At 36.8% G+C, this 20,879-nt stretch overlaps 1 protein-coding gene and 1 pseudogene across 6 annotated transcripts in view; both read right to left on the bottom strand.

The window, feature by feature from the left end:
- SLC12A2 (solute carrier family 12 member 2) overlaps window positions 1–20,879 on the bottom strand; it is a 105,912-nt gene that overhangs the window by 67,591 nt on the left and 17,442 nt on the right. For all 6 annotated transcript variants that reach the window (NR_046207.2, NM_001046.3, NM_001256461.2 and 3 more), the window contains exons 2-4: window positions 9,154–9,273; window positions 7,800–7,875; window positions 7,406–7,501 (exon numbers count right to left, since the gene is read on the bottom strand). Coding sequence is in view for 5 of the 6 variants with exons in the window: in NM_001046.3 (NP_001037.1) it covers window positions 7,406–7,501; window positions 7,800–7,875; window positions 9,154–9,273 (292 nt within the window). In the remaining variant the exon portion in view is untranslated. The remainder of the gene's footprint in view (window positions 1–7,405; window positions 7,502–7,799; window positions 7,876–9,153; window positions 9,274–20,879) is intronic.
- Window positions 10,889–12,882, bottom strand: POGLUT2P1 (POGLUT2 pseudogene 1; annotated as a pseudogene).

Here is a 20,879-nt window from a genome sequence, read left to right as displayed (position 1 = left end):
CAGTTCATATAATACAGTATTAATTAAAACCAAGAATTTACAGTCTTCATCTTATGAACGGCTGCCTGCAGTTGTCCTCTATTCTATGAATGAGTCTAAATTCATGGATTAATTAAAGATGGGACAACTCTGGTCTGTGTAATCTAGGAAATGCAGATCTGAGTGAAGGTGGCTGCTGGCCAGCACCATCCAAGTTGCAAAACCTGTTGTACAGATCCGTGGAAACTCTATAAAATCCAAGCTCTCAAGAACACTGCTATGATTCGTAGAACAGGAAAGGGCTCTAAAATCCCTGTAGCCTGCAATAATCTGAAAAGCATTAATGTGTCTTGCAGGCAGGGATTATGACAGAAATAAAGTAAACGTTATCAGTTCCTTGGCACTGCTATTCTTATGTGGAAGGCAGAGAACTTAAGTGATGATTCTCTAATCTGCTTCCAGTAACTTTAAATAGTACCCCAAATCAGCCGGGCGCAGTGTCTCAAGCCTGTAATCCCAGCACTTTGGGAGGCTGAGGCGGGCAGATCACGAGATCAGGAGATCGAGACCATCCTGGCTCACACAATGAAACCCCATCTCTACTAAAAATACAAAAAATTAGCCGGGCGTGGTGGCAGGTACCTGTAGTCCCAGCTACTCGGGAGGCTGAGGCAGGAGAATGGCGTGAACCCAGGAGGCAGAGCTTGCAGTGAGCCGAGATCGTGCCACTTTACTCCAGCCTGGGCAACAGAGCAAGACTCTGTCTCAAAAAAAAACGGTAATAAAAATAAAAAAATAGTACCCCACATCAGTACTAAAATTGAATCAAGCCTGAAACTAAGCATGTTTTATTTTCTACATTTTGACTTTTTCAGAAACCTTGCATGTTTCCATTACATGAGACTTTAAAGTTGGACATTATTACATTTGTTTACAAGTTAATAACAAAGTACAACTTTTCTAGATTGATATCTGTTTAATCTCTAAAATGTACTGTTAAAGCCAAAGTTAAAATTAATTAGTAATATTAAATCTCTCCTATGGCAAAATGTACATAACACTAGGGAAAATTCACTGAATTCACACTTCCGCAAAGCTGCAAACACATAATTTTCAAGATAAGAATAAAACATTATTCAATTAATAAAATATAAACACGTTATAATTCAGTTAAGAATCAAGATAAATAAACAGGCATTATCTCAAATTAGTTAACATTAATTTTTATTTATTTTATTTATTATTATTATTATACTTTAAGTTTTAGGGTACATGTGCACAATGTGCAGGTATGTTACATATGTACACATGTGCCATGCTGGTGTGCTGCACCCATTAACTCGTCATTTAGCATTAGGTGTATCTCCTAATGCTATCCCTCCCACCTCCCCTCACCCCACAACAGTCCCCAGAGTGTGATGTTCCCCTTCCTGTGTCCATGTGTTCTCATTGTTCAATTCCCATCTATGAGTGAGAACATGCAGTGTTTGGTTTTTTGTCCTTGCGATAGTTTACTGAGAATGATGATTTCCAATTTCATCCATGTCTCTACAAAGGACATGAACTCATCATTTTTTATGGCTGCATAGTATTCCATGGTGTATATGTGCCACATTTTCTTAATCCAGTCTATCATTGTTGGACATTTGGGTTGGTTCCAAGTCTTTGTTATTGTGAATAGTGCCACAATAAACATACGTGTGCATGTGTCTTTATAGCAGCATGATTTATAGTCCTTTGGGTATATACCCAGTAATGGGATGGCTGGGTCAAATGGTATTTCTAGTTCTAGATCCCTGAGGAATCGCCACACTGACTTCCACAATGGTTGAACTAGTTTACAGTCCCACCAACGGTGTAAAAGTGTTCCTATTTCTCCACATCCTCTCCAGCACCTGTTGTTTCCTGACTTTTTAATGATTGCCATTCTAACTGGTGTGAGATGGTATCTCATTGTGGTTTTGGTTTGCGTTTCTCTGATGGCCAGTGATGATGAGCATTTTTTCATGTGTCTTTTGGCTGCATAAATGTCTTCTTTTGAGAAGTGTCTGTTCATATCCTTTGCCCACTTTTTGATGGGGTTGTTTGTTTTTTTCTTGTAAATTTGTTTGAGTTCATTGTAGATTCTGGATATTAGCCCTTTGTCAGATGAGTAGGTTGGGAAAATTTTCTCCCATTCTGTAGGTTGCCTGTTCACTCTGATGGTAGTTTCTTTTGTTGTGCAGAAGCTCTTTAGTTTAATTAGATCCCATTTGTCAATTTTGGCTTTTGTTGTCATTGCTTTTGGTGTTTTAGACATGCAGTCCTTGCCCGTGCCTATGTCCTGAATGGTAATGCCTAGGTTTTCTTCTAGGGTTTTTATGGTTTTAGGTCTAACGTTTAAGTCTTTAATCATCTTGAATTAATTTTTTATAAGGTGTAAGGAAGCCAAAAGAACAAAGCTGGAGGCATCACACTACCTGACTTCAAACTATACTACAAAGCTACAGTAACCAAAACAGCATGGTACTGGTACCAAAACAGAGATATAGATCAATGGAACAGAACAGAGCCCTCAGAAATAATGCTGCATATCTACAAGTATCTGATCTTTGAGAAACCTGAGAAAAACAAGCAATGGGGAAAGGATTCCCTATTTAATAAATGGTGCTGGGAAAACTGGATAGCCACATGTAGAAAGCTGAAACTAGTTAACATTAATTTTTAAAAACTATGCATCAAGTTTAAAATGGGGCTCTTTGAATTAAAATTACTAAACAATAAACATAATGTTCCCCAACCTTTGAATAGTGTTTTAAGAAAATTTATTTCCTCATTAATTCCCTTAATAGTCAACTTTCAGTCTACAAAAAGTTCAGATGGGTTCACCAGACATCACTCTTCCCACAGCATTTTTCCATTTCCTTTTAAGACACCAGTCCTCTGGATAATTCTAGCTCTATTACCGTCCTCTCTAAGTAGCCCTTACAAGGTAGGCAGTCAAAATCAAATCTTAGCAGTTGAGCTGTAGGAAATCCAACTCAGGGATTCTTGGTACCACCAAGAAGTATAGTTTATAGTTTATAGCTAAAATGGCAAACAAAACTCATACCTACACATTGAATCCCAAGTTTGTTTTAAACCATTAACTCTCCTCTCCATCTTTTTTCGAGCCTTGAATAAGAAGGGTTCCTTGCTCCATAGAGATTCCCAGTCTGGAATTTTCTGTCATCACCCTATGCTGTCATTTAAAAAGTTCCTCTCTCCTCTGGATATTCTATAAAATGTTTCCTGGAGATATTGGCATAATGTGATTCAGATTTAATTTGTTGGGAAACAATACTTCACAGGTATTCTTATCAAGTAAAAGCTTTACAGAAGTTGGAATTAAAAAAAAATTATTTCAATAGTTTTTGGGGAACAGGTGGTTTTTGGTTACATGGGTAAGTTCTTTAATGGTGATTTCTGAGATTTTGGTGCATTCATCACCCAAGCAGCATACACTATACCCAATGTGTGGTTGTGTGGCCTTTTATCCCTCACCCACCTCCCACCCTTCCACCCGCATCCCCAAAGTCTATTATATCATTCTTATGCCTTTGCATCCTGATAGCTTACCTCCCACTTATAAGAAAGAATACATGAGATTTGTTTTCCATTCCTGAGTTACTTCACTTAGAATGATGGTCTCCAACTCCATGCAGGTTGCCGCAAATGCCATTATTTCATTCCTTTTGATGGCTGAATAGTATTCCATGGTGTATATATACCACATTTTCTTTATCCACTCACTGGTTGATAGGCATTTAAGTTTGGTTCCACATTTTTATAATTGTGAATTCTACTGCTATAAACATGTGTGCACAAGTGTCTTTTTCATATAATGACTTATTTTCCTTTGTTTGGGTAGATTACCCAGCAGGAAGACTGCTGTATCAAATGGTAGTTCTACTTTTAGTTAAGGAATCTCCATACTATTTTACATAGTGGTTATATTAGTTTACATTTCCACCAACAGTGTAAAAGTGTTCCCTTTTCATAACATCCACACCAACATCTGTTATTTTTATTATTTTTTTTAATTAAGGCCATTCCTGCAGGAGTAAGATGGTATCTCATCGAGGTTTTAATTTGCATTTCTCTGATAATTAGTGATGCTGAGCATTTTTTCGTATGTTTCTTGGCCATATGTACATCTTGTTTTGAGAATTGTCTATTCATGTCCTTTGCCCATTTTTTGATGGGATTGATATTTTCTTGCTGATTTGAGTTCCTTGCAGATTTTGCATTATTAGTCCTTTGTCAGATGTAGAGTTGGCAAATATTTTCTCCTACTCTGTGGGTTGTCTGTTTACTCTGGCTGATTATTTCTTTTGCTGTGCAGAAGCTTTTTAGTTTAATTAGGTCCCATTTAGTTTTGTTTTTGTTAAATTTGCTTTTGGGTTTTTGGTCATGAATTCTTTGCCTAAGCCAATGCCTAGAAGAGTTTTTCCAATGTTATCTCCTAGAATTTCTATGGTTTCAGGTCTTAGATTTAAGTCTTTGAACCATACAAAGTTGGAATATTCTAAGTCTCTTTCCTCCTTTACTCATTATGTAGAGCAATTATCTGAAGAACAAATCTCATCGACTTCTTGGTTACCTTGAGTTGAGGAAAGAAACCTTTCAGGAGTTTGATTCAACACTATTTATTTATCAATTTTCATAAGATGGTTCCCGAGTATGTTTCAAAGGTGAAAAGTGAGATTTTTTGGTTTGTTTCATTGTTAACTTATGGATTTACATCCATATTTTCATATATTTTCATCCAAATCAGTTATCATCATTACTGCTGTTCAAATTATCCAAACTTTAGCCAGTGTTAGCTCCTTTAGGTTGACTCTTAGGTCCTTTTGATATGAAACTAGTAGTGCTCAATACTTTGGATCTGAAAAGGTGTCTAAGCTCATTTCCTGCCCAGATAAGGAATCAATTTTTTCTCTAAAGTCCGTTGGTTCTTTTGAGTGGAAATACACAACATGGGCACAAGAATTGCTTATTGCCACTGAGCTGGTCATTTATTATAGGTCACTTTAATGGAAAAAACTAAAAAATATGTACTTTCAGGATAAATTTTAAGACTAATACTTTCAATTTAGAATCCTGAATACAGGTGTAATGTGATCTCAGTTTTATGCCTGTATCTAGTTTCTCCCACGTGGAAAATATTTTTTTCATGATACCAAAATAAACCATGTTAGGGGTTTCCAAATCTGAGTCAGATACAGAGGAGACAGAAGGGGCTTACATTCACTAAAAGAATCTCTTGAAAACACTAATTGCAGATGATGCAGCTCATACATATTCTATAAAGACCATCCAGCTGTCCAAAGTCACTAAGTGAAAAATGAATGCCTTCTAAGAAAGCTTCGTAGTATCTGGTCACTCTTTAAATTAATAACTTTCTCTTTTATCTTCTATGGGTTTCATTATTTCACCAAATGTATCACCTTCTTGATCGTATGAACACCTCATAACAGAATTTCAAGTGGTTTTTACCCTCTAGGTTCTTCCTTTGTGAACAGATTTTTCAGGAAACTCATGCAAAATTATAATATATAGTCATTTTTTGGGACAGATCTGTGTGGGTTCCACACTCTCGTACTTTCCCTGGCAGTCCAGGACAGAAGACTGCACACAAAGTCTATCAGGCAGATGTATTTGTAAAGAGATATATATATATATATATATATATTTATATATACACACTACCAATGGTATATATATGTAAACTACAAATGGTATTATTGAAAAATGAAATGGCTTTTTGGTCACAATCTTGCAAAATCTCTACCTTCCAAAAATCTGATTCAAATGGGGGAAAAGCATGAAGTTAATGTTGCCAGTGGCTTCATGCCCCATTCCTTTTGAGGCTCACAGCCTAGATTCTAAGGTCTGAGGAAAAGGAGAAATTCTTTGATGATTTGCTGATCCCCTACAAATACACAGCATCCCAGCCCATTTCTCTTCCCACTTTCATTCCCCAGTTGTGGCAGAGAGAAATGAAGCATGGAGTACCCAGTTCACGAGAAGCCAAAAAGAATCTCTCAACATTATCTGACTAACTCTGCTGAACATATCCACACTGTATATCCCAATATAGCTCAATCCAGGCTAACAGAAGCATAAAACTTCAGTCAACAGTGATGAATGCTCAGCATAGTCATAATCATATTGATACAAGATACCAGCCTCCAAGGGTCACAGTGATTTGGATCCTCTGGTGTCTAAAACATATAAAGACAATGGTGAAAAATGAAAAGCTCAATCTGGTTCTCTGTCTCTATCCCTCCCACACCCAAATACTTGATGCAGGTAAAGTGGAAATTGTGTTATATAATGTCAAAAAGGGATATTCAAAACAGTTGAGGCAGATGAAATAGATCTTTTCTCAGTTGATTTGCTACCATGACTTTACAGGTGCTGGCAGACATTTTGTCTCCTTTCTCCAGGGATCTTCTCACTCTGACTGAAGAGTTTTGATTTGGAAAATGGAATTCTTTTCTTCTTGTTTTCAGGGATCCTGATTCCATTCTCCCGTAGTCTCTTAGGTCCTCTTCCTAGGGAGGGTAAAAATCTCACAAGGCAGATCTTATAGACTCTAATGAGAGGCCTCATAGTGCCCACAGAAAGCTAGACTTGAAAGTATGAATTTAAAGTCCCAGGGCCAGGTGCGGTGGCTCACACCTGTAATCCCAGCACTTTGGGAGGTCAAGGCAGGCAAATTACCTGAGGTCAGGAGTTCAAGCCCAGCCTGGCCAACATGGCAAAACGCCATCTCTACTAAAAATACAAAAATTAGCCGGGCGTGGTGGTGCACGTCTGTAATCCTAGCTACTCAGGAGGCTGATGCAGAAGAATCACTTAAACCTGGGAGGCAGAGATTGCACTGAGCCAAGATCATGCCACTGCACTCCAACCTGGGTGAGAGTGAGACTCCATCTCCAAATAAATATATTAATTAATTTACAGTCCCAGGTATAGCTCACGCAATGCTATTAGATCATGGGGAAGGTATACTGCCTCAGTTTTCCTCAATAGGGGATGGAGGTGGGGAATGAGGTTACCCCAATACAATGTTGAACAAATGCCAGGAGCATGTTGCTGACTGATCCAAGGGCAAGCCTTGGAGGAGGCAATTAAGATGCAGCCCAGTGGATAAGAGACCAAAGTAGATGCTCCATTCTTGCTACGAGACACACTGAATAACTTAAAAGCTTATGTGTATGAGTTGACATAAAATTTTACATTGAAATATACTAGTCTGGAAGTGCTCGGTAGCAACTTTCTTGTCTATATAGACTTAATATGTTGCTTCAGTTAAAGTAAAAAATAATTAAAAATACAATTTAGACCTCTGTTTAGTAAGAGTAATCTGATGATGATGATTCAAAAAGATTCTACTTACCTCCTCTTACAAATCCATTAGTTGCTATTGCTGAAGTAGACAATCCTGTGATAGTTGTCACAACAGTGGCCATCATTATTACAAGGACTGATAGACCTTTACGAAGAAAGAAAGACAATGAGAATACTTACACTCTTGTTTAAGCTCATCGGTATCTAAAACTGGTTGGTCTAAGAATACTGAATCTACATTTTAAGTTATAAATTACCCAATTTTGATCTCATTTTATAAAAACCAAATCAGAATTATGAAAAAAGGAACATCAAGATAACAATCTGATATAAAGGAAAACGTAGTTAAAAATGACTCTAATTTCTTGAGTTTCATGAGGTTAAGAGCTCAGACACAGTTATTTTGCTTATTCTCAAATCAAGCAGGATATAACTTCACTTACCTATTCCAGCTTGACCCACAATCCATGACAATCTAATGAAAAGCATCACACCCCAAATGTTTAACATACAACGTACCTAAAGAGGGAAAAAGAGGCCAAGACACAGAGGAAGAAGAATAATCAAACATTATATAGTAAGCATTAAACCAGTCAAAGTAGAACATGCATTTGAAACTACAGAAGATATGTAGTTTTAAATCTAACTCCTACCCCACCCTTTTCTTTAACAGTTTTTATAAAGAGCTTAAAAGAGCTTACTTTTGAGCTAATATAAACACAATGTAACATATAAAAGTGTGTATGAAAATAAATGCACTCATCACAATTGTGTGAAGCAGCAGAAGCAACAGAACAAGAAAGATACAAGATATATTTTTAAAATTCAGCCCTTTAAAAAAGTAGTGCATATTCCCTTTTATCAGTCAAAGTTTAACTTTTGCTTATTCTTTTATAACATCCTCATTTCATGATTTCTTCAGCAGATTTAAGTATTACATAATATTTGTCGATACAAAATGCCAATTGTTCACATTTTTAAAAATTCAAATTAGTTGTAAAAGTTTCCCCTATTTATTTTCAGTTTTATTTGCTATGTTCATACATAGAACATAGTCTTCTAAAACACTAAAATCTAAGGCAAACAATACTACCTGAAGCTTCACATTCACCTTATGGATTAGGCAATAAAATTAATACTAGAACTGTGATTTTTTTCCCTCTATTTCTCCCTGAAATTCCAATACAACCCCTATTAAGTGCTTCCAAAGTCCCAATGAGAAGGCAATGTAGCCTATTTTAGTCAGATCCTTAGTGCTTATTCAAACACAGAAAAACAGAAGTAAATCTGAACCTTAACCACCTAAATCTATGCACAAAGTGAACTCAACATTTAAGTATTTCTCCTGTATTCCTTGCTTGTTAACTTCCATACGCTTCTCTTCGAAATATAATGGGGGGAATGTGAAAGGAAGCAGGCATATTTCAGCTCTATTCCCTGCTCAGCCTTCTTGATTCTGATGCTCCCAATTTGATAGTCTTCATATTTAATTTCTGAAAAGTGACAGTGCATGAGATTCACAAGAGGCAATGAAATATAATTTAATACCATCAGTAACACATTACATAGAATATAATCAAGAATAATTTGGCAAAATAAATGGCATATCTCCTTTGCTGAAGTTAATATCCAAAAGCAAAGGAGGTACAAGCTATTAATTTGGTTTTCCACAGCACTCAGATAAGACAGTTAACATAGAGAAAAAAAGAGTTCTCTTGAGAACTGATGAGAACGTTAGGAAGATTTTATAACCAACAGATATGCTGTAACTATAAAATTAAGTCTATATATACATACTAATACACCCTTGATCCAGCCAAACTTCACGACTCCTTTACTTTCTGCAGTATACGTGACCACAGCATCTCTGGTTGGAGTACTTTCTTCCCCATTTGCAAAGCCATCCTCAAAAGGTTCCTGGTTATAAAAAGAAATATGAATTATGCTTAACATTTAAAATTTAAAATCACTTGATAAAAACAAACATAACTAAATACATCTAACCATATTTAAGAGGGCATAGTACAGATTTCCAAGAATCAAGGGTTTCCAAATATTTTACCCCAGGAAAGGACAAAACAATAAACTAGAAGAAAACCTTAATTACTGAAATTTCTTAAAATTTAAGTCTCACTATGACAGTAAATCCATTTTAATAATTCCAAATTCTAGCTACACTTTTGGTAGTGTCTGGAGGAAACAATGACTCCTGTTTGCTAATTACAGGGTAGCTAAGTCGATCAATTCAGACCCCATCTCTCAAGCCACAAATTTACATCACCTAGTTGCCACCAGTCCTACATCTGAAATTTCAACATTAACAACTTAAAACTCCTCTTCATCACCAACGAATATGTTTTTTTTATAGTCCATGACAGCAGGAATCCCATGGATCCCAAGATTCCTTCATAGCTCCTCTCTTTACTCATTCCTTGTCTGCAGTGACTCAGTGCTTTTCATTGCTTTCCTTTGTAGTTTTTCTCAGACTCAGACATGTACTGGTTGACATAATGAATTTGACAACCAGTGTTTCCTTTTTAGGTTTTTAGGTTTCATAGCTGATTCCATAATTCTTTGTTCTCTAACTTCTCTCTTTCTCTTTCAGTGCTTCTTGAGTTTTGTTCTATCCCAATATATGACACATTTCCAAAGCAGTAACCGAGCCCTAAAAAGGTCATGAAAGGAAAGGGGAGATGGTTTAGGAAATAGATGTTCTGGGTTTAGAATTATGTCTCTAACACCATCCTGTGGTTCTTCCTCTACCCACATCTAAACAGCAGAGAACATAATGTGGCTATATTTCAGATGTTCTTTAAATGCAGAAGAACCAACTAAATTTTTAAAACATATTTTCAGTACTTCACATCCTTTAGTGAATTCTCTCTCTCCATATATATATATATACACACACACACACGTATATACACACACATATATATATGCGTACACTTTTTTTTTTTTTTTTTGAGATGGAGTCTCGCTCTGTCACCCAGGCTGCAGTGCAGTGGCGCGATCTCAGCTCACTGCAAGCTCCGCCTCCCAGGTTCATGCCATTCTCCTGCCTCAGCCTCCCGAGTAGCTGGGACTACAGGCGCCCACCACCAAGCCCGGCTAATTTTTTGTATTTTTAGTAGAGATGGGGTTTCACCATCTTAGCCAGGATGGTCTCGATCTCCTGACCTCGTGATCTGCCCGCCTTGGCCTCTCAAAGTGCTAGGATTACAGGTGTGAGCCACCGTGCCCAGCCTATATATATTTTCTTTTAACAGAAATGAGATGCAGCAAGTTCTGTGCTACCACAGTGCAAAATCTACATGATAATCAAAATTCCCTTTTCCCTTAACCAACATCTGTCAGCCAAATAGACTCACTCAATTCCATGTAATGCAATATTGCTATATGCTTTTTTAAAGTACTATCAACCTAGATTAGCTCTTAGATTCCATATTTACATATGTTAATTACTGTTAATTCTTTGATTTTTGAAGCAATAGAAGTATAAGCCAGATGCAATAATTGTGTGTATATATATTTTTTAATAAAGGTAGTTTTATTATAAAATTCTAAAAATGTAAAGTACAGTCATGAGAATACTGCATAAGTAGAAACGTTATCTTCATACTGCAAACAATCACACAGATTTTATATTGTCCATGGAATTAATACTTAAAAAAATTCTTTTTAGTTAAGAGTCTTCAGAGCACCATTATTTTAATAGAAGTTATTTTGCATATCAGAGTTCATCTTTGGTCTTTTTCCTATGGCAAGTGCAAGGGAAGAGGTCATTCTCAGTCTGTGGTTCTACCCTTTTCATGCCCTCTCAGATTTGCGGCCCACTCACTTGTAAATTGGCATATTCCTGGAAAAGTTTGAAATAATAACAGAATATGTCATCATCCATGAGATTATTTCTTGCAAATTCTTGTCCTGCTTTTGCTATCTTTTTGGCCTCTTCATTGTGATCTTTTGTCCATTTAAGTTTTTCTAGCAGATCGCTCAGGTTGCTCTTCACTGGAATGTAGTGTTTCCAGGGCTGCAGAGCTCATTGTAAAAATGTTCATAGTAGACGGAGTCTTGGCTTCAGCACAACACTGTCACTAACTAGTAAATATGGCAGGTGATAAGCTGCTACGATGCCATCAATATTTATTTGATACTTATGCTTGAAGAAATCAAAAAATGAAATGTGTTTCACAATGGGACCATACAGGTTTTCATCATGTTTAAAGAAGAAAAAGTTGGTGAAAGCAGCGTCTATGAGTTCAGGGTGTTTCTACTGAGTTTAACCAGCTCAAGTCTCCTTTGCGGCTGTCTTGCCCTCTCAAGACAGCTGTGGAGTTTTTGCTTTCCCAGGGAGGACCCGTGTTAGCTTGCACAGACATCATATCCAGACTTACCCAGCCCATGGTTTCTAAAACAGTCAGTCAAGTCGTAGGTAGGCATCACGATATCCTTGGAATCTGTGGAGCCACACCAGGAAAAGGTCGGATGGATGTTTGAATTGGATTTCTTTTTTTCCAAAGCAAAGGCCAGTCTGCCAAATTAACAAAGAACTCTACATCTGGCATCTTCACCTTTCTAGTCAAAGAAAGTAGTATGACATCCATGAAAATTCTAAAACCTACATGTTCACCATGAGACTTGATATAAACTTTGTTATCTTTTAAGGTGTAGTGACACAGGCTCTGCCTCTGTCCAAGTCTTTTTGGGATTTCTACTGCAATCTTTTCTGGATCCACAGTAGGGAAATGTGCCAGATCTCTCTGAATCTGAGCAATGGTTTCCAGTTGGGCAGTTCATCCCCCGTAGCCAGGCTGCACTATCTTGCAAAGGCCAGTCACAATTCTCATGGCACACTGGCTCTTTTAAAATACATGGGGATTTGGCCACATCTTGACCTTGGAATTTAACTCCCATCTTCAGATTTTTGTAGCCTGCACACATTCTGTATCTTACCATGAAGGACCCATCCTTTTAGTCTAAAACCTGGACTCCAACTCTAGTGAATTGCTCCTCTGGTGCTGGGACTTTCACCTGGAAGACTTTTTCGCCTGGAGAAGATGTGAAGCTATTCCCTGATGTATCCACTGTCTGAATATAGAAATACTGGGTAGGAAGGACGATGTCTGCTTTTAACCTGGGTCCCCATATTTTGCTCTTCTCCGGACTCAGCTGCCTTTCTCCACCCAGCAAGTGCTGGAACTGTCCCCAGAAAGAAGCAATAAAGCAGCAAAATGCTAAACATTTACAAGACGGACTCTCGAAATGATCCATGGATAAATGAAGAAGTGTAAGACGTGGACAGAAGCAGCCGAGGCTTCGGCAGGGGCACACCGGCCAATCACAGCGACTCCAAAGCGTGCTGCCTGGCATGCAGGGCAGGCATGCAGGGCAGGCACGTGGGTTTCCGCCGCCCCAGGACAATCACAACCTGTGCCCTGGCACGCCTAGGTGAGGGTCACCAGGGATTCTGCTGACCCGGCCAAGAACTGCGCTGCTCCTCTTTCTCAGGACAATGATGAACTTAATTAAGTATATTTTTTGAAAATTATTTTAACTAGGCTTTGTAATGGTGAGAAAAATAATTAAATTTTTAATTAATCCTCATGTTTTCATTAATAGACATAGCTATAACCTCAGCTATGTGAAATACATGGAAAATGAGTCATTTTAAGATAACCAGGAATTCACATATGAAGTTTAATGTTAAACATTTAGGATAGTAGTTCATACATTTTTCAAAAGAGATCCTAAAACACATTAAGTATTTTCCTTACAGCACACAGTTTCATAACTATTATCAACCAATGATTATTTTACTGTACTATAAAAAGGATGCCCCCAGGCTTATGGAAAATGGAACTAACCAACCCCATAAAAATTTAAAATTACCCCAAATTTGCAATTGTTTTTAAACTTTATTAAGCTATATTGAGATATAACTCACAAATCACAAAACTCACTAGTTTAAAGTGTACAAGTTAATGATTTTTCGTATATCTACAAAGTTGTACTCTTATTCCCAGCATCACTACAATCAACTGTGGAATATTTTTATCACCCCGAAAAGAAATACCTCAATTCCCCCTTCCTTCAGCCCCTGCCAATCACCAACCATTTTCTGTCTCTATGAATTTGCCTATTCTGACATTTCATATAAATGGACTCACACAAGATGTGGGCTTTATGTGTGGCTTCTTTCACTTAGCATGTTTTCAGGGTTCATTCATGTTATAACATGTATCAGTACTTCACTCCTTTTTATTGCCAGATAATATTCCATAGTATGGATATGCCACTTTTTTTTAATTCATCAGTTGGACATTTGGGCTGGTTCTACTTTTTGGCTATTATGAATAATGCTGCCATGAACAGCTGTCTAAAGTTTTTGGGTGAAAATATGTTTTCATTTATCTTGAGGATACACCTATGAGTGGAATTGCTGGACCATAATATAATTCTTGAAGTGACTACTTCTGGTCATTTTTCTCATCTCTTCCTTTGTATGAGACTGCAAACTGTCACTTCCCATTTCAGCAAATATGCCTGCCTATTGTTAGCCCTCTTCCTGCTTAAAATGAAGATGCCTATTATTCTTCTTCTGCTTGCTGGTATGAACACAGAAACCATTAACGGTTAAACTTGTTAGAAGTATGCATAAACCAGCCAACAAACATATGAAAAAATGCTCATCATCACTGGTCATTAGAGAAATGCAAATCAAAACCACAATTAAGATACCATCTCATGCCAGTTAGAATGGCAATCATTAAAAAGTCAGGAAACAACAGATGCTGGAGAGGATGTGGAGAAATTACATTGTTGGTGAAAGTGTAAATTAGTTCAACCATTGTGAAAGACAGTGTGGCAATTCCTCCAGGATCTAGAACCAGAAGGACCATTTGACCCAGCAATCCCATTACTGGGGACACACTCAAAAGGATTATAAATCATTCTACTATAAAGACACATGCACACGTGTGTTTATTGCAGCAGTATTCACAACAGCAAAGTCTTGGATCCAACCCAAACTCCCACAATGATAGACTGAATAAAGAAAATGTTGCACATATACACATAGAATACTATGCAGCCATAAAAAAGGATGAGTTCATGTCCTTTGCAGGGACATGGATGAAGCTGGAAACCATCATTCTCAGCAAACAATCACAAGAACAGAAAACCAAACACTGCATGTTCTCACTCATAAGTGGGAGCTGAACAATGAGAACACATGGACACAGTGAGGGGAACATCACACACTGGGGTCTGTTGCGGCAGGGAGGGGTAGGGGAGGGACAGCAGTAGGAGAAATGCCTAATGTAGGTGACAGGTTGATGGGTGCAGCAAACCACCATGTTACGTGTATACCTATGTAGCAAAACTGCACGTTCTGCACATGTATGCTAGAACTTAAAGTATAATTCAAAAATAAGAAGTGTGCATAAACGGTAAAAGAAAAAAAAATATGACTAGGGGACTGTGTAGCTCAATCACAATAACAACCCACTTCAGCTGTACTTCCACCACTGTTTAATGTGTTTCAGACAGTAGAGTCAGGGACAATCCCAAATAATAAGAAATGACTCTGAATAGGGATTGATGATTCAACTGTTCAATTATTCAAATAAAGCCAGAACAAGAAAATCTGCCAGTTAATTCAACAAACTTTAAGGAGGAGTTCCCTTATCTTTCACCATAGAATACATAGTGCTCTTCAGTTTTTTTAATGGAAGCAGACTTTAAAATATATAACCTCCAAGTATTACAAGAAAATATAATGTCTATAATATACACAAAAAGGCATCTCTCTTCCCATCTGTGTTAAAAGAAAACGAAAGATGTATGTACTTAGTAGGCTACTTTTTCTAAGGCTAAGATTTCATGTGGGTGTCTTTTTAACAATGCAAAAGTATGCAGGCATCCAAAAATTTTTGCTGTGGGTGTTTATCAGAATTCCACCTCAAAATAGAAGAACTAGCAATAATTTTGCAACTAGCTCTCCACCATACTACATACAACTATGTTGTAAGAACAAAGTAAAATTTTCCAGTATTTTATTTTAAAATAAAGGTATGTCCACACAAAATAAAAAATGTATCTTCTCTATCATCTTCTGGCAGATCTATTTTTAAAACTGTTTTAGTTATCTCTACAATAAAATTCAAAAGTCAAAAGCAAATAACTTTTTATTTGTAGTTCAATTAGTAGACTTAAATATAATAAAATTGGGTTCATAATTGTATTAATTTCCTGAAATACCAGGAAACCAAAGTGGAAGACACATCTTTTGTTTCTTTAAATTTGTTTCAGAGAAATAAGAGAATTAGCAAGTATGGTATTTGGTCCACACACACAAAAAAGTATAAAAACTGTATAATCAAGGAGGTTCAAGTGTGCAATTATGAACTATAAATTATGCTGATACAAAAGTACATAAATAAAAATCTTCACTCTACCTGCCATTTTCACAGAAATGATAGATTTTTGGTTTTTACTGTATATTCCACACTAATGGATAAAAAGTAGAAATTGGCAACATAAATATTTTATGGGTAATGGTTTATTAAATGAAGCTGACCAAATTTAGTATTATTCCAGAAAATAATCTTTCAAAAAGTAGCATTATGATTTGAAGTTTCCCAGCCCCAGCAGGGACTGGTAGGACAGAGAAAAAAAGGGGGAAGAAAGGAAGAGATAAAGGAAAGAATGGAAGATCCAGATATTTAGGCCCTCAGTAATCAAAAAGGAAAAGATTCAGTTGAACATGTTGAATCTGAGGAGCTATGGGACAATTAGAGTCCTATCCAGCAGTTAAAAAATGTGTGACTGGAACTTAGGAGAGGGGCCAGGGATAAAAAGCTAGTAGGTAAAGAAGCTATGCAAACAGATGAAAAGAAAAACAGAAACCATAGGGAGCAGAACACTTTTCTGAGTATGTAGAAAATAGACAAAAAAGATGGAAACTCTGGTCTCCATCATCATTACTTCCTTGCAGGATGTAGAGAAAAGGATAATTTTTACACTATGGATGATCTCTTCTTTCCCTAGTATATTCAAATTTCCACCTCAACTTGATCATTCCCTCTCCTTTAACCAGAGTTAACTTTTTACTGCACTCTGACTCTTGCCAAAGTTTCTAATAGTGCAGCACATTCTTAAACGCAAGCCAACCTGGCTTCCCCTCACCACAACACCAAAATCGTTTTATTAAGACATCCAATGACTTCTTGGCTGCTAAATCTAATGTACATTTTTCAGTTCCTGTCTCACTGAACTCCTACAGTACCATCTGACACTGTCAGCCACTCCCTTTCTTGAAACAACACACTCTTCTACCCAGCAATTAAGTGGTAGGAGTTCCTTTAGCACTTGGTCCTATACCCCCCTCCCTTGCTCATCCCGTATTTTCCATGGTTATCGTACCAGACTCATAGCTCTAAACATCGTGTATATGTGTTAAGTCGTAAGTGACGGCTTAGGTTCAGTCCTCTTTTGTGAGTTTCAGCCCTGGGTATAAAATATTGATCTTACCACTTAGGATGTTTCATTACATTTACTATTCTAATCCTCACCAAAAGATAAAAAGAACTTGTCAATATACTATAAACAGTGACTTCTGTCAAAATGGAGAGGGAAATTTTTCTTTTTGGATCTAGTTTTAAATTCCTGATGGTTTCAGTGAAAACACTTAACCATTTTCCAAATGACAGAATTCCACATGTTATAATGAGTCAAGGTAAATTATTTTAGATTATCTATTTTTAGGTATCTATTTCCCTCATTCCTTTGTTCCCAAATCTACAGAAGCTAAGGGCTTCTAACATGGTCCTCATAAAAACGACAGCAGAAGTTCTGCACTGTATAGCTCCAGAGGAGATTTTTAAAATTCTATACTTTGTAGAAATACCTCCCAGGGTATACAGCATCTATGAAACTGCTATACAGGATTGTTACAAATAGCTGTACCAGACTACCTTTAAAGAAGAATTGCTATAGTGTCCAGAAAATCCATCTGAGAAAGCATACCTATTATATATCTATATCTATATCTATATATCTATATATCTATATATATATATTTTTTTTTCTTTTTTTTGAGATGGAGTCTTGCTCTGTCACCCAGGCTAGAGTGCAATGGCACGATCTGGGCTCACTGCAACCTCTGCCTCCCGGGTTCAAGTGATTCTCCTGCCTCAGCCTCCCAAGTAGCTGGGATTACAGGTGCCTGCCACCACGTCCGGCTAATTTTGTATTTTTAGTACAGACAGGTTTCACCATGTTGGCCTGGCTGGTCTCTAACTTTCCTGACCTCAAGTGATCTGCCCGCCTGGGCCTCCCAAAGTGCTGGGATTACAGGTACAAGCCACCACACCCGGATTCAAATGTTTTAAGTATGAAATTGTGTACTAGATAGAGTTTTGTGTTATTTAACTTTGGAAGTTTACTTGGAGGCTATTCTGGTAGAGAGGGCTGGTAAAATAGGCCAATCATTCCGTTTCTACATTATCTAGGATTTTTTCCAATTAAAAAATCCTCATTAGCTGCTCAAGATAGCATCTCCTTTTAATCAATGTTCCAGGTCAAACTAGGTTTTCTCTTCCCTTAGATACTTTCCCACTGCAACCTCTAGACCCCTGGGTTTCCGTACATCCATGCCTTTTTCAGGAAGCCTTGAAAAATAATGTTATCCCAAGGAATTCTTTCGATCTGTCATAAATATGTTGTTACCACACATAGTAAATTTTGACATGATTAAAGAAAAGGCAAATATTAGTCTGACTGTTATAGAAGTGACATTTCTATTTTTTTCCATAGACCACTTTCCTATTTAATTTTCCTTGAATTTTATAATACCCCAAACTCTTATCCTTTAAATTAGATAATTGAGGGTTCTAACTAAAATGTTTAATTTGATATAATGTTCTTTTGCTGAAATACTGGTTTTAAAGTATTTTCTCCTGAGGGACTTTTGGCTTGCCTTTCCCTCTGCCTGTTAAATGCACTTTGAAGATGGCTGGCTCTTTCTCATCCTTTAGGTCTTAGTTTAAATGCAGCCTTCTTCTTCCCAAAACACCTAACATATTGTTTCTTCTTAGTCCCGTTTATTTCTTTCATGACACATATCATACTCTGTAATTATCTTTTTTATTTACTTGGTGTTTTGTAATCTATGCACTCCCTCAGTAAGTATTAAAATGGAAGGTCCACAACAGCACAGACCTTTCCTGTCATTTTTATCAAAGATATGGTAAATGAATATTGAGCTTTCATGAGGAATCTGTTTTCCAAATAATGTCCTGAAATAGTAGAGCAAAATGAGTGTCTGTTCTCAAGTCAGAGATAGGCTCAAATCCCAGCTCTGCTACTCACTAGTAATGTGTGCTTTGGCAAGTTATTTAATCCCTCTGGTCCTCAGTTCCGACATATGCGAAATGGGGATATTATCCACTCCATACTGTCTGAGAAGACGAAGTGAGAAAATACAATAATTGTACAGAACACAAAAACTCTCATATGATCCCGGTGAGAATATAAACTGTTAAAACAATTCTGAAAGAAAAGTTTGGGCATTATTTTCAAGTTGAAAAAATGCACACCTTTAACCCAGCAATTCTACTCCTCAGCATATCCTTAGAGATATACAATACTTCTATGAAGCAAGATACTCGTATAAAAACGTTCATATCAGCACTGTTTAAAATTGTCAAAAACTAGAAACATCACAAACATCCTTAACTGCAGAATAAAGAAACTGTAGAATATTCATACAATCGAAGAAAATAGCAATTGAAATGAATAAATGAAGGGATGGGCACAGTGGCTCATGCCTGTAATCACAGCACTTTGGGAGGCCAAGGCCAGTGGATCGCTTGAGCTCAGGAGTTCAATACCAGCTTGGGCAACAAAGGTGAAACTCCATTTCAATAAATAATACAAAAAAAAAAAAGTTAGCCAGGCATGGTGGCACGTGCCTGTAGTCTCAGCTACTTGGGAGGCTGAGGCCAGAGGATAACTTGAGCCCAGGAGGTTGAGGCTGCACTGAGCTGTGATCACACCACTGCACTCCAGCCTGGGCAAGAGAGTGAGACTACCTCAAAAGAAAAAAAAAAAAAAAAAAAAAAAAAAAAAAAGGCGGGGGGGGGGGTGAATTACAGAAAGACACAGTATAAATGAGTGTTACAAACTAAGAGTGAACAAAAGATGTCAGATTGAAAATATGCTATACGATTCCATTTACATACATTTTTAAAGCAGGAAAAACTGACTAATAGTCTTCAGGAATACATAAAGGTGACAAAAATCATTATAAAAAATAACACCAATACCCAAAGAAGTGATCACCATAAGTCAGGGTAGTGGCTATTTTGTGGAGGAATTAGAAGGGGGTGCACAGAGAATTTCTAGGGTGCCAGCAACATTCTATTTCTTGATCTGGGTGGTGATTACACAGATGTTCACTTGATAACTTACGTTATACATTTGTATTTTATGTTTTTTTTAGATTCCACAATAAAAAATACTTTAATAACATTAAATGAGAAAATGTGTTAAATGTTTAGTACACTGCCTGACATTAATAAAGTAAGAGCTCAATAAATTTTAGCTGTTACTATAAACAAATAAGTGATCTACTATTGCAACTGCCCATACTGTGAGCTGAAAACTGGATGTTGAAAAAAATACATAAAAATAAATACTGTAAAACATTACTAATCTAGACTCTACTACATAGCTTCTTATAATTTGATATTGGCAGAGTTTAAGATTACCTCTAAAAGACTTTAAAAAAAAGGACTTTTGCATACAAATATGAAATCACCATTCCACATGGTGGTGTTAAAGGATTTATCACCCACACCATCTGCCAAGCCAACACAGTATAGCACAAGAATGTGGCTTTAATGACCAATGTTCACAGTACTAGAAATGTTTCACAACTTCTCTGACACTAAAAATTTAATAAATGATAAACTCTTTCCTATTTGCCTTAGTGGCACTGATACACACTTTACAAAAGGAACGCCTAGGGTTAATATGAGATTGCCTAGTCTGAGAACAGAAACAAAACTTCTGGACATAGCATTATTTCAGCAAATTAAATAATGGTTAATGACAGCCAGCAGAGTGGGGATCTTTATTTTAGGGCACTGTTAACATACAAAAGTGTATTACTTTCTTGACAAGTAGCTTATTGTTGATTTAAATAAACCCAAAATTATATTTCAAAAATGTTAAAGTCCACCTAAAAATGCCATTTATTTACACCCTACAAACTTCTGAATTAAAATGTTTTTAAAGATACGTTAAAGATCAAAATTTCTTATATGGTTTAACAGCATCTGCTTAATACTAAGGTAAGTCAAAGCGTTAAATTACTATCATGAATCATAGGTGATTTAGCAACTAAAAATATGTGCATACATATGCAAATTTTGACCCCAAAGTGGCCGGTTTTATTCTAACAATTGTTCTAACAATTTTTTTTAATCAAGTACTGGCCAATTATATCATCCTAAAGC

The sequence above is a fragment of the Homo sapiens genome, chromosome 5, assembly GCF_000001405.40.
Source record: "Homo sapiens chromosome 5, GRCh38.p14 Primary Assembly".
Lineage (NCBI taxonomy): Eukaryota > Metazoa > Chordata > Mammalia > Primates > Hominidae > Homo > Homo sapiens.
The sequence above is the reverse complement of the archived record's forward strand: the minus strand, read 5'-3'. Positions and strand labels throughout refer to the sequence as shown.